This window comes from Homo sapiens, chromosome X (assembly GCF_000001405.40).
Source record: "Homo sapiens chromosome X, GRCh38.p14 Primary Assembly".
Lineage (NCBI taxonomy): Eukaryota > Metazoa > Chordata > Mammalia > Primates > Hominidae > Homo > Homo sapiens.
This window is the reverse complement of record NC_000023.11, coordinates 92,536,691-92,551,507: the sequence shown is the minus strand read 5'-3', so window position 1 is coordinate 92,551,507 and position 14,817 is coordinate 92,536,691. Positions and strand designations below refer to the sequence as shown.

Sequence of the window (14,817 nt, the reverse complement as noted above, 5' to 3'; positions counted from 1 at the left end):
CCACAGAAGGGGAGAAAATATTTGCAACCTACCCATCTGACAAAAATTAATAAACAGAATATATAAGGAGTTCAAACAAGTCTATAGGAAATTAATAATCTGAGCAAAAAAAAATGGGCAAAAGATTTAAATAGAACTTTCTCAAAAGAAGAAATACAAATGTCAAACAAGTATATGAAAAAGAAATACAAATCAAAACTACAATGAGATATCCTCTCAACCCAGTTAAATTGGCTTTTATCCAAAAGACAGGCAATAACAAATGCTAGCACAGATGTAGAGAAAAGGGAACCCTAGTACACTGATGGTGGAAATGTAAATTAGTACAACCACTCTAGAGAACAGTTTGGAGTTTTTTCAAAAAAACAAAAATTGAGCTACCATATGATCCAGCAATTCCCCTGCTTGGCATATACCAAAAAGAAAGGAAATCAGTATATCAAAGAGACATTTGCACTCCTATGTTTGTGGAGCACTGTTCACAGTAGCTAAGATTTGTAAGCAACCTAAGTTTCCATCAACAGATGAATAGAGAAAGAAATGTGGTACATATATACAATGGAGTACTATTTAGCCATAAAAAAGAATGAGATCCAGTCATATGCAACAATATGAATGGAACTGGAGATCATTATGTTAAGTGAAATAAGCCAGGAACAGAAAGATAAACATCATATGTTCTAACTTATTTGTGGGATCTAAAAATCAAAACAACTGAACTCATGGAAATAGAAAGTAAAAGGATGATTACCCAGGGCGGGGAAGGGTAGTGTGTGGTGGGATTTAGATGGGGATGGTTAATGAGTGCAAAAATAGTTAGAAAGAATTAATAAGACCAAGTATTTGATAGCACAACAGGATGACTATAGTCGATAATAATTTAATTATACATTTAAAAATAACTAAATGAATATAATTGGATGGTTTGTAACATAAAGGATAAATACTTGAGGAGATGGGTAGCCCATTCTCCATGATTTGATTATTACATATTGCATGCCTGATTCAAAATATCCAAGGTATCACATAAATATATATACTTACTATATACAAAAATAAATTAAAATTTAAAAAATTCAGAAAGAAAACTATTCCAGAAATTTATACTAAAATAATCATGGGTTTATTTTTTAACTATATAAGTGAGAGAGTACCTAGATATCCAAGGAAGATATTTATGATATTACAATAGGAAAAATGCAAACCCTTTATTTCATAGCACATTTAATATGCTTTTTAAATGAATACACAGATATGGGTGAGCCTGAAGCATATTATACTAAGTGAAATAACCCAGGCACAAAGGATTAATACCGCATGTTTCCACTTATATTTGGAAACTAAAAATTTGATCCCACGTAAGTAGAGAGTAGAATTGCGGTTACTAGAAGCTACAAAGCGTAGGGAGAAGAGGAGAGAGGGAGACATTCATTAAAGGATACAAAATTACAACTAGATAGGAAGATTAAGTTCTAGCATTCTATAGCACTGTAGGATTACTCTAGTTTACAATAATTTATGATATGTTTTCAAAAAGCTAGAAGAGAGGATTTCGAATATTCCCACTACAAGAAATCATAAATGCTTTAAGTGATTGATATGCTAATTACCCTGATTTGATCACTATGCATTGTATGTATCAAAGCATCACTATGTACCCCATAAATATGTTCAATTATTATGTCTATTAAAATATATTAAATAAAAATACATATGCTGCTCTATTAATAATATACTTGAGTTTCTTTTTATGTATATTTCAGTGAGATGACTTTGTTTTATTTATTCTGAACCATAGATGTTTTTTGCTCTCTTTCGCCATCGTGAAAAGGATCTTAGGGAGAGATTAAATAAATCATTAAAGTTTTGTTCTAAATAGATAAACCACAGGAAAAAAGGCACTACTCATGGTGAGAAATACATGTTTTCTTAACAAGTATTTTACAGAGGAACTCGGTGAATCTGAATTTAGATCACGAATTTGAAAATGTTCATCATTTTCATGCAACTTCTCATTTTTTCTATTATTTCAGAACTCATTTACACACATAAAGAAACTGTGTTGAAAGTAAATGTAAGCACTGAACAGAGACACTTAATTTCAGGTTGAACAATACAGGTAGCATTTTCACATTGAACTGAAATCATGATACTTTCTAAGTAAGCAGCAAATGAAATGAAGTGAAAGTCCATTTCATGTTCAAGACGAAATTATAAATGAGTGCTACAAAATAAGGCAATATAAGGCATTAAGTTAAATTTTAAGTTAGAAAAGCAAAGTCAAATGTATGTGCATACATATACATATTATATATGTATATGTACTTTCTTAATTAGACATTATTGTCATATTTGACAATTACACATTTGTGTCCCTCATAAAGTACTGAAAGAGAGTATTTTGGAGTTGCATAATGTGCCTTGTGAGAATACATAGTGAATCATTTTTTATATAGCATCTAGTCCTACAATGATCAGATGTACCTGGTGTAGGCTTTAAACTGTTGAATGGTACACTTTAAGCCTGATTTCAATAAATGACACTTGCACTGTTTTTTTCACACATTAACAAAACTGATTAGATATTTTTAAAGACCTTCTGAGCCTTTAATTTATGTTTTGACTGTTTCAGCTGACATAATTTTAATAATTTAAAATGAATAATTTTAATAACTCTAGTAATGCTTGCAATATTCTCTAATGATGGATCGAACATATCACTGAAAAACAAGTGTACCTTTTTCTTCTTTGATCCTATGAGCAAACATTTTAAGTAGAATTTATGTCATTTGGTGTTGGCTCTGTCATCTTTTAAGATCACTACTTTCTATAGCATTGTGGGAGATAAGGGCAAAATGGCTGAAAGGAAAGCTTGGCATTGCAGTATTGAAATTGGCTCACATTTCAGAAGGTGCTAGTGTTAACCGAAATTAACTCTGGGAAGTTCATCATGTTATCATAGGTTTGACAACATCAGCAACTATCATTCCACATGCTGATGATAAGATGCCAGAAGGCTAGATAAGAGAATTTTAGGGGCTGCGTGCGATGGCTCATGCCTGCAATCCCAGCACTTTGGGAAGCTGAAGCGAGTGGATTGCTTGAGCCCAGGAGTCTGAGATCAGCCTGAGCAACATAGTGAAACCCTGTCTCTAGAAAAACTACAAAAATTAGCCAGGAGTGGTGGTGCCTGCCGGTAGTCCCAGCTACTCAGGAGGCTGAGGTGCGAGGATCACGTAAGCCTGGGGAGGTCAAGCGAGCAGTGAGCCATGATTGTGTCACTGCACTCCAGCCTGGACAACTGAAAGCATGTCTCAAAACAAACAAACAAACAAAACTTAGAAAAAGAAAGAATTAAAAAAAATAGAATTGCAGGAAAGGAATGAGTTCTTTCCTTTAAGAGTATTTTATAGATGACAATGCACAATTTAAACTTGGATTGTGAGGAAGGAAGAAACCAGATCATCTCCTTTTTAAAAAGGCTTTTGGTTTTAATCACCTTTTACATATATTGAAGCTATTGACACTTTACAAAAATAGAATAAACATGTTAATGTAATTTCTGTATTGCCAAAATGACATTTTAATAGATGTTAAAATTCTTGTATATATATATAGCCATGATGGCGCCCACCAGTAGTCCCAGAAGCTGAGGAAGCTGAAGCAGAAGAATCGCCTAAACCTGGGAAGCCAAGGTTGCAGTGAGCCGAGATCCAGCCACTGCACTCCAGCCTGGGCAACAGAGCAAGACTCAATCTCAAAAAATAAAAAAATAAAAAAATAAAGAAAAGAAAAAGCCCATTAGAAAAAAATGTACAACTATCATTTTTTTCTCAAGGTAAATGTTTACCTTTTAAAGGCCTCGACAGGAAAAATACACACTAAATATAAATCCTCATAATGGTATAAGAAAAGTTACTAGAAACATTCAAAATGTTAAGGAGGTAAGAAAAGAGGAAGAAGGGAGAGCGAGGGAGGGAGAGAGAGGGAGAAAGGGAGGAAGGAAGAGAGAGACATTCATTCACATTTTTTTTTCTAAGATTACAATTTAATCTTCCCTTAGAAACTCCAGGTGAGAAGTAGAATCTGCATTTCGATAGCATCTTTCCATAACAAATATTACCTTAAGTAAGCAACATTTAAAAAATATCTGCTATTATTTCAACATGTTTTATTTTATAACCGTTTCCTTTTACTACTAATCTCTTATCTTTTATGTCATGTTCTAAATAGTTTATCCAAGAATCTTGACAGTTATGAGCCAATAGAGAAATCAATCATTAATTTTCACAGTTCTTGCCAAATCACCTTAATACTGCTTAAATTCACAGAAAGAGTTAACAATTCCTAAAACGGAATTTATGCAGAATTTCTGTAATAGTATTTTCTAACAAAACTATCTGGAAGCTGCTTCTTTTTTGCTGGGCTTCCCTAAAGGTGCAGTAAATATGTCCATGCTGAGGAGGAAAATCATTTCTTCCCATGCAGTGAATGATCTTAGTGCTCCAAGGAGGTCAATAAGATACTGTGCTAAGGCGTGTTGCAAAGACACAGTGAGGAGAACAAAAGATGGGTATTTCAGGCAACAAGCCTTTGAAATATAATAATTGAGTGCTGACTAGATGATATGTGGTCTGTTTGCCCCTGCAGACATAGACCCAATATAAGGGCAGTATCTAAAGCTCACTTTCAGATATACTATTTTTTAAGTTAAAGGGAATATACTTGCGTAAATGGAGGGCAGTGATGAAATAATTGTATGGTTTGAAATACTGCAAGGAAACACAAAATTTCATCAGACACCTACATGTTTTACATAGTTCCTAATATGAATGTAAACTTGGATATTTTTCTCTACCTAAATGGATTATTACTACATAGCAACTTAATTTAGACTGAAATAACATCTGTAATTTGTAGAAGAAAATGGGGAATTTGGCATGACCTTATTTTTTTTCCTTGCATTAACATATGAGATTTCAATTTTTTTGCTATCCATTCTCAAAATGAGAATTGATAAAACACAAGTAATATGATTTACATTTTTATTGAAAAAAGTGTTATATATACAGAGAGATAAGAATTTTCTAAGACTCGTCTTTCATGTATGTCGATGGAAGATAACATTATTTGTACTTTAAATCAATGCAGTCTTCTCTGATAGTATAGAGTTTTCTGATGTTAACCCCATTCCGGCTAGAATCTGATAGATGGATATTATTTGTCCAATAATTTTTCTTTCAGATTATATTCTTTGTTCCACAACTGAATAAATGTGTGATTGTGGGTAAGTCACATCTGCTTTAAAACTTAGTTTTCCCATTACACAATAAAGAACTTGGACTCTATGATCCTTAAGATTATTTCAAATATAAAATTCAAATATTTTTCTTTGCTCTATTTCTAAGAGTAGACAAAGGTTCTCTGTTGTGTAAAAATCAGCTCACCACATAGTACATTAAATCGAATATTCGAAGTTTATCATTGGGTTCACATTTTTAAAATAAAAGGCGTAGACACACACTGACAGTGCCTGAAGGCTAGTGATAATACTTCCCCTACACCATATCATACAATTTAGCAGAAAATGATATCAGAGAAAATGCTATTTGTAAACCAAAGGGATTAAGTGTGATCACAATTTTATATTTTTAACTTGAAATGTTGGATGTAATCACACCTTTAAACTAATTCTACTAATTTTTCGATCAGACTGATGCAAAAGCTTTATTTAAATGTGTACTCATAAAAACAGAACTGTAAGCATATCAGGGAATTAATTATCAATTCAAGAATTTAACCCTTGAGGCTGGGTGTGGTGGCTCACACCTGTAACCCCAGTACTTTGATAGGCTGAAGGGGGAGGATCACCTGAAGTCAGGAGTTCAAGACCAGTCTGGCCAACATGGTGAAACCCTGTCCCTACAGAAATACAAAAATTAGCCCGGCATGATGGCGGGCAACTGTAATCCCAGCTGCTCAGGAGCCTGAGGCACGAGAATCACATGAACCCGGGAAGCGGAGCTTACACTGAGCCCAGACGGCTCCACTGCATTCCAGCCTGGGTGACAGAGCGAGACTCCGCCTCAAAAACAAAAAAAAAAAAAAAAAAAAAAAAAAGGAATTTAACCTTCGAAGTCAATGATACTAAAAACGAGACTTTAACCACTCTCCTTATTTGATAGACTACATGTCTCTTATGTAGTAAGTTCTTACTGGTCTTTGGAATAAATAAGCCTCTAAATTATAAGTCACTCTGGTAAAAATGGAACAATATGCACAAAAGTAAATTCTTTTATGCCTCTCTAGTTTTTATGCCAATCACAAAACTTACTTGCTAATCATTACAACTTCTCTCCCTACTCTCTCCCACAGAGTGTACCAAAAGCTATAATGGCCTTTTTATTCCAGGCCTCCACATGGAAGCATGCATTTGGACAGCAGGAGCTCTCCAACTATGCTGTTAAAATTCTACCCTACTGAATAGACTTTCTGTTCACTTAAAGGAATCATAGAATCTGGGTGAAGGCAGTATGAAGAGACAGGTACCAGTATACTCTGACTGTGTTTTGTAGGGGCTTGAATCTGGATATATCAATTGTAGTCGTCTGTACCATCAGTAAGAACATGACATCTAAATTTAATATAAAAATTGTATTCATACCAGTTTTCCTTGCTTTAAAAAAGTGCTTCCATTATTAATACACACCAGTAAATTTCCTCCATAAAAGACATTTCTTCATGAAAGCTTTGATTAGATTAGGACCTTTAATTAGGGTGAGCCTGAGAATATCTGATTTTATTTGTGCTGAACATATCTAACCTTCTGAGTTAAAATGAAACCATATGATGGGGTTGAATTTACGGTGTCTTCAATGGCACCTAAGACAAGACCAAAGGGAGTTCACATAAGACAAGACCAAAGGGAGTAAGAAAAAAAATAATAAAACAAAAGCAAAATAATCATAACAAAATCCAACTCATGCACTCGTGCTGACTTTTCAGTGTACCTCAATGGCTAACTACATCTAACACGTCTTCAAAAGTTTTTCTAGTCCCACTATTTGAATAAGAAAATCAAGGGCAAAATGTTTTGCTACATGTTTTGTTAAACATAGTGAATAATTTCTCTTGTATTCTCCAAAGGCTGTGTTTTTCATAAAACCTATTTATTATGCAGGAAAATATAATTATATTTTCTCCAAGCATAACTTATGCACCTAAGAAAAAAAGCTAGCTTCTTAAAATGGTACATTTCTTTAAGGCATTTTGCTGTCCTACTTAGCCAGTATATGGGCAAATGTGAAGTATGTGTGAATCATGCTCAAGAAGGGAAATTCAATAAAAATAAGTGGTACCTGCTTGAAACTCAGGGTTTTATTCCAATTATCTATAAATTAGTCCATGGTGTGAAAGGTGTCTGACAACTGCCACACATTAACCCCCGAGCATACTAGTTTTATCTAACAAGGGAATTAAAATGTCTGAAGTATATGGTTTTTAAAATTACCTCCCTTCTTTTCTTCCTTCCATTGTCTATCATCCATCCTACTTACAGAGTTTTGTGGTTATTTTTTAAATTGTTATATTAGCGTGTCTATATTCTTATTTATCTTTAACATGTTTGAAAAATAAGATTGGCTTTTGATGACTTCCTTTAGATTGTTTGAGTATAGTATTTCCTTCTGTTATTCTAGACTATATATTATGATAAAACTTTTTTTTTTTTTTTGGCAGAGTCTCGCTCTGTCACCCAGGCTGGAGTGCAGTGGCACGATCTCGGCTCACTGCAACCTCCACCTCCCGGATTCAAGCCATTCTTCTGCCTCAGCCTCCCTCAGCTGGGATTACAGGCGCCCGCCATCATGCCCAGCTAGTTACAGGCGTGAGCCACCATGCCCGGCCAAAACTTTATTTATAAATAATGACCCTGATACCAATTTCATGAATTCATATCATAGCTTCTAGTCTATTTAGAGTGTTTTTAAAAAATGAGTTAGCTAGATATTTCTTTCTACTTTCTGATTACTAGGGTTTATAGGAAAGGTAGGATTAAAAACAAAATCTCTTTTCATGTGTATTCTTAACAAGTTCTTAACGTCTTCTTTTAGAAAAATTGGGTCAAAAGATGTTGATATGAATAAAATATAGTGCTGTATTAAGAACTATGTTACTGTGATATTTTGCAAGTCAATTTTATGTAATATTTGCTTTCAATCACGATTGGAGAAGTACATGTCTAGAGGAAGTTATAATGTTTAAAAATAAAGTTTAAAAAGTTATTAAAAGCCAAAATTTTAAAGGACAATATTATTATTGTATGATTAAGAAATGCAGTGTCCTGATATTCAGGAGATTTTACACTGATTTGTAATTTGGAATATTTTTTAAATACTTGTAGAAATCATATAATCTCACTAGTTCCTTTTATTCTAAATGGAAAAGTGGAAGTGAGTGGTGTTATAATCTGGATTTAAGAAGTATATTTTGTAAAGGATAAAATTGTAGGCTAAAGAATTTTGATGTCTTATGATGAATAATCCTGTTCAGGATTGTTAATAACAGAATTGGTTGAAACACTTCAATTTTGTCTATACTTTGAAAAATCTAGAAAGATGGCTCTCAAGAGACTAAAACAATATTTTCTTCATTGCATTTTTTTAAAGATCATGTATTCTTTATATTAAACCTGTATTGAATTTTGTAGATTTCTGCCACTAGAGAGGCTTTAGATTTTTCAGAGTACAACAGTTACCAGAAAATAAATGACAATCTTTTTTAAAGGTAAAAATTTCCATTTGTTGAAGTTATTTTGCCTACATTCACAGAAAATAATGTTTTATCTTTCATCTAAAAGGAGACATATATCTTATATATTAGTTGACTTCAAATTATTTTCTCATTCTAAATGATTTTCAAGAAACATACATTGATAATATATTGTGAATCCCACAAAACTTAGTCTTCTATTATAAACTCTTGGGAAAAAATATAAAAATGTGGTTTTATTATAATTTTATTCTAATTTATGGACATTTTAAAAGGTGCTAGTGGTCCCAGTGTTCCAACAATATAACATAAAGTATGGTAATACAGATAATTGTAAAGTCAAACGTTTGGAAATCATTGGGATGAAGATTAGTATTTGTGTGCAGAGCTGCAGGCAACTCTTCATCATCTCCTAATGTGCAACTACATATTAAAAGGTCCTAATATTGACGCAAAAGTGATATTTAATGAGTTCCTTTCAAAAAAAGAGATTTTCTCTGCAATGCCAAAATACTCATCAGGTAGAGTAAAATTCAGTGGAATAGGTGTTGAATTTCAGTTTATTCAATTCAAGAATTTTTAAGCGAAATTTAATCACATTTACAAATTTCATCTTAAATATGTAGTGTGAGAATATGCTATAAAATATAATTATATAAAGTACATTTGAAATAAACTGACATCTCCCTGAGAAAAAAGTAATACAGAGAATTGTATGAACTGGAAAACATACACCTATCAACATAATTTTAAGTGTAGTATTATATATAGCCTTTTTATTTTTATTTTTGAGAAGGAGTCTCACTCTGTCACCCAGGCTGGAGTGCAGTGGCACGATCTTGGCTCACTGCAACCTCCGCCGCCTGGGTTCAAGCAATTCTCCTGCCTCAGCCTCCCAAGTAGCTGGAATTACAGGCACCCACCACCACGCCAGGCTAATTTTTGTATTGAAACGGGGTTTCACCATGTTGACCAAGCTGGTCTCGAACTCCTTTTTATAGTGAAAGGGGGTAGTTGTTGAATAGTTTTTTTTTTTAATTGAGTTATTTTTTTAAAGAACTTCTTGTTTAAAATAAATAAAAGCTTAAGAAAAAAATCTAAAGAGGGTGGTATAAAACGGTGGAATAAAAGCCTACACTATTTGTCCCCTGCGCTGGAACACCAAATTTTAACAAGTATCTGCACACAGAGAAACACCATCACTGGACCAAAAATCAAGTGAGTAATCACAGTACATGGTTTAAATTCATATCACTGAAAGAGGCATTAAAAAGGATAGGAGAAACAGTCTGAAATAGCTGACACCACCCCTCCCCATCCACTGGCAGTGGCCCTGTGACACAGAGAGTTTGTGCACTTGGGGGAGGGAGAGCACAGTGACCTAGGGACTTTACATTGTACTCGGTGCTGCCTGTCACAGTGGAGAGCAAAGTCATGCTGGGATCAACCAGTACCCTGCACAGAGGGAGCATTTGGACCAGTCCTTACAAGAAGGGAATCGCCCATTACAGTGGTCAGAACTTGAGTTTTTTTAGCAAGCCTTACTGCTGTAGGCCAAAGTGCTCTGGGGTCCCAGGTAAACCTGAAAGGCAGTGTAGGACACAAGGAATACAATTCCTGGACAACTCCAAGCGCTAGGCTGGGCTTAGAGCCAGTGGACTCAAGTGGCACGTGACCTAGGAAGACACCAGCTGGGGCAGCTAAGAGAGTGCTTGTGCCACTCCTTTTCCAAGCCAAGTCAGTGCAGCTCGCAACAGTAAAAGTGACTCCTTTCTTCAGATTAAGAAAAGGAAAGAAAAAAGAGGCCTTTCTTATGCATCTTGGATGCCAGCTCAGCCACAGAAGTAGAGGGCACCGGCAGAGTTGTGAGGTCCCCATTCTGGCTCACAGATGACATATCTAGAATCAACCTGGGCTAGAGGCAGACCCGTGGCCTTGAAGGGAAAAAAACACTTCTGATAGGATTTATAAACTGCTGACTAAAGAGCCCTTGGGCTCTGAAGAGTAAGGAGTGATAGTCAGGGAGTACTCCATGGGCCTCGGGCTCTGAGATGTACTGACTTCAAGTGTGACCTGCCATATTCCCAGCGGTGCTGGCTACAGTGAAAGACTCTCTCTGTTTGAAAAAAGCAGGGGGAAAAATAATGAAGACTTTGTTTTGCACACTAGATACCAGTTTGGTCACAGTGGAGTAGAGCAACAAGCAGGCTCTTGGTGTCAAGTCCTGGTCTAGACTTTTGGACAGCAATTCTGGACGTGCTTTAGGCCAGAGGGGAGCTCACTGCCTTGAAAGGCGTGTCATAGTTCTGGCAACATTCACTACAATCTCTTAGAAGAGCCCTTGGTCTTTAAGTGAACATAAGTAGTGGTGTGGCAGAACGCCTTATGGGCTGGTGGTGGTAGTAGCCACAGGGAGGGGTTCCTCTGCCTGTGGAAAGAGGAGGGAAAAGCAGGAAGGACTTCGTATTGTGGTGTGAGTGCCAGCTTACACAAAGTAGAATGAAATATTAGGTAAATTTGTAAGGTTTTGTACTACAATTGCTGGCTCTCAGACAGGATCTCTGCACAAGTCTGGGGCCTGAGAGATATCACTGCCCTAAATGAAAGAAGAGAAACCTGGCTGGTTTCACCACCTGCTGATTATAGAGCCCTAGAACCTTGGAGTCAACATAGGTGGTATCCAGGTAGTGGTTACGGTAGGACTTTGGTGAGACTCAGTGTTGTGCTGGCTTCAGGTCTGACCCAGCACAGACCCAGTGGTGGTGACCCCATGGTACTTGCATCACAATGCCCACAGTTCCAGGTGGCTCAGCACACAGAGAGAGGCACTGTTTGGGAGAAGGTAAGGGAAGACAACATGAGACTCTTCCTGGTAATCCAGGTAATTCTTTTGGACCTTATCTAAGACTACCAAGGCAGCACCTCTATGAGTCCACAAAAACCACAGCATTATTGGGCACAGTACCCAATTCCCTTAGAATACATGGAAAACCTTCTCAAAAAGGACAGATATAAAACAAGCTCAAATTGCAAAGACTACAATAAATATATATCTTTAATGCCCAGACACTGATGAATGTCCATAAGCAATCAGGATAATCAAGGAAAACATGGCCTTACCAAATGAACTAAATAAGTCATCAGGGACCAATCCTGGAGAAACAGGGACATGTGACCTTTCAGACAGATAATTCAAAATAGCTGTGTTGAGGAGGCTCAAAGAAATTTAAGATAACACAGAGAAGGAATTCAGAATTCTGTCAGGTAAATTTAACAAAGAGATTGAAATAATTTAAAAGAATAAAGCAGAAATTCTAGAGCTGATTAATGCAATTGGCATACTTAAGAATGCATCAGAGAATCTTAATAGCAGAAATAATCAAGGAGAAGAAAAGATTTAGTTGAAGACAGGCTAGTGGAAAATACAAAGGAAACAAAATTAAAAAGAATAAAGAATGAAGTACAACTATAAGATCTAGGAAATATCCTCAAAAGGGTAAATCTAAGTGTTATTTTCCTTAAAGAAAAGTACAGAAAGAGATGGGGGTAGAAAGTGTATTCAAAGAGGTAATATCAGAAAACTTCCCAAATCTAGAGAAATAAATCAACATTCAAGTACAAAGAGGTTACAAAACACCATGCAGATTTAACCCAAAGAAGACAGCCTCAAGGCATTCAATAACCAAACTCCCAAAGGTCAAGGATAAAGAAAGGATCCTAAAAGCAGCAAAAGGAAAGAAACAAATAACATATAAAAGCTGAGGGATTCCATAAACACGAGACCTGTCTTACACGAAATGCTAAACGGTGTTCTTTATTCTGAAACAAAATACATTAATACATAAGAAGAAATCATCTGAAGGTAGAAGACTCACTGGAAATAGTAGGGACATGGAAAACCACAGAATATTATAACACTGTAATCATGGTATGTAAACTACTCTTAAGTAGAAAGGTCAAATGATGAACCAATCAAAAATTATAACTGCAACACTTTTCAAAACATAGACAGTACAATAAGACATAAAAAGAAACAATAAAAAGTTAAAAAGGGGGAGTATAAAGTTAAAGTATAGAGTGTTTATTAGTTTTCTTTTTGTGCTTCTTTGTTTATGCAATCTTTGCTATGTTGTCATCAGTTTAAAATAATGGGTTATAAGATAGTATGTACAAGCCTCATGATAACCTCAAATCAAGAACCATACAACAAATACACAAAAATAAAAAGTTACAAATTAAATCATATCACCTGAGAAAATCACTTTCACTAAAAGGGTAAAAGAAAGAAAAGAATGAGAGAGGAGACTACAAACCAACCAGAAAACGAATAAGAAAATGACAGGAGTAAGTCTCTAGTTGTCAATAATAACAAGGAAATAAATAGATGAACTCTCCAATGAAAGGACATAACATGTCAGAATAAAGAAAAAACACAAGACCCAGTGATCTCTTGCCTTAAAAAAACAAACTTCTCCGATATAGATACACACAGATTGAAAATAAAGGGATGGCTAAAAGCTGTTTTATGCCAATGGCAACCAGAAAATGGCAAGAATATATTTACTTATATTCAACAACATAGATTTCAAGACAAACACTATAAGAAGAGACAAAGAAGGTCACTATACAATGATAAAGAAGTAAATTTAATAAAAGACATAACAATTATAAATATGTATGTACCTAACACTGGAGCATTCATATATATATAAAGCAAATATTATTTGATTTGCTGAAAATAAACAAATAAATAAAAAGGACATCCAAATCGGTAAAACAGAATTCAAATTACCTTTGTTTGCAGATGATATGATTTTATATTTGGAAAATCCTAAAGACACTACCAAAAGCTATTAAAACTGATGAACAAATTTAGTAAATTTACAGAATACAAAATCAATATACAAAAATCAGTAGCCTTTCTATATGCCAATAGTTAATTATCGGAAAAATAAATCAGATTGTCTTTTTTCCAGTGCATGTTCTTGGCAACTTTGTCAAAAATAAGTTCACTGTAGGTATGTGGATTTGTTTCTGATTCTCTATTCTGGTCCATTGTTCTATATGTCTGGTTTTTTTTTTTTTTTTGCCAGTGTTATGCTATTTGGGTTCATATATCTCTGTGGTATAATTTCAAGTCAGGTAAGGTGATTCCTCCAGTTTTGTTCCTTTTTGCTCAGGACAGCTTTGGCTAATCTAAATATTACAGGGTTCCATATAAATTTTAGGATTGTTTTTCTCTTTCTGTGAAAAATATCATTGGTATTTTGATAGAGATTGCATTGAATCAATAGATTAATTTAGGTAGTATGGACATTTTAACAATATTGATTATTCTAATCCATAAACATGAAATATCTTTTTATTTTTATTTTTCTCTTCAATGTCCTTTATTAGATTTTATAGCTTTCATTGTAGAGTTCTTTCACTTTTGGGGGGGAAAATCTTCAGCACATTGGTCTGGGCCAAAATTTCTTAAGTAATACTCCAGAAGTACAAGGAAATGAAGCAAAAAAAAAAAAATGGACAAATGGGATCACGTAAAGTTAAAAAGCTTCTGCAGGATGAAGAAAATAATAAACAAAGTTAAAAGACAACTCACAAAATGGGAGAAAATATTTGCAAACCACCTATCTGTCAAGGGATTCATAACCAGAATATATAAGAAGATAAAATAACTTCATAAGAAAAAATTCAATAATGCAATTCAAAACAGGCAATAGATTGGAGTAGATATTTCTCTGAAGAAGACATGCAAATGGCAAACAGGCATGTGAAAATATGTTCAACATAATTGATAATAAGAGAAAGGCAAATCAAAACTACAATGAGTTATTATCTTACCCCAGTTAAAATGACTTTTATCCCAGCCTGGGCAACATGCACAGCCCTGTCTCTACAAAAAATACAAAATTTATCCTAGCATTGTGGCATACACCTGTAGTTCCAGATACTGCGGAGGCTGAGACAGGGAGATCGCTTGATCCCGAGAGGTCAAGGCTGCAGTGAGCCATGATTGCACCACTGCACTCCAGCCTGGGTGACAGA

General features: G+C 34.8%; 1 protein-coding gene across 13 annotated transcripts in view, besides 1 other annotated feature; it reads right to left on the bottom strand.

The window, feature by feature from the left end:
- PCDH11X (protocadherin 11 X-linked) overlaps positions 1-14,817 on the bottom strand; it is an 843,856-nt gene that overhangs the window by 71,723 nt on the left and 757,316 nt on the right. The gene's annotated exons all lie outside the window — the stretch shown is intronic.
- Positions 9,535-9,744: a silencer, noted in NCBI's record as "fragment chrX:91796763-91796972 (GRCh37/hg19 assembly coordinates)". NCBI's record gives its function as "represses an EF-1alpha promoter that drives an FKBP-Casp9 reporter gene in an ReSE screen in HepG2 liver carcinoma cells {active_cell/tissue: HepG2}" and the evidence as "EXISTENCE:reporter gene assay evidence [ECO:0000049][PMID:32094911]".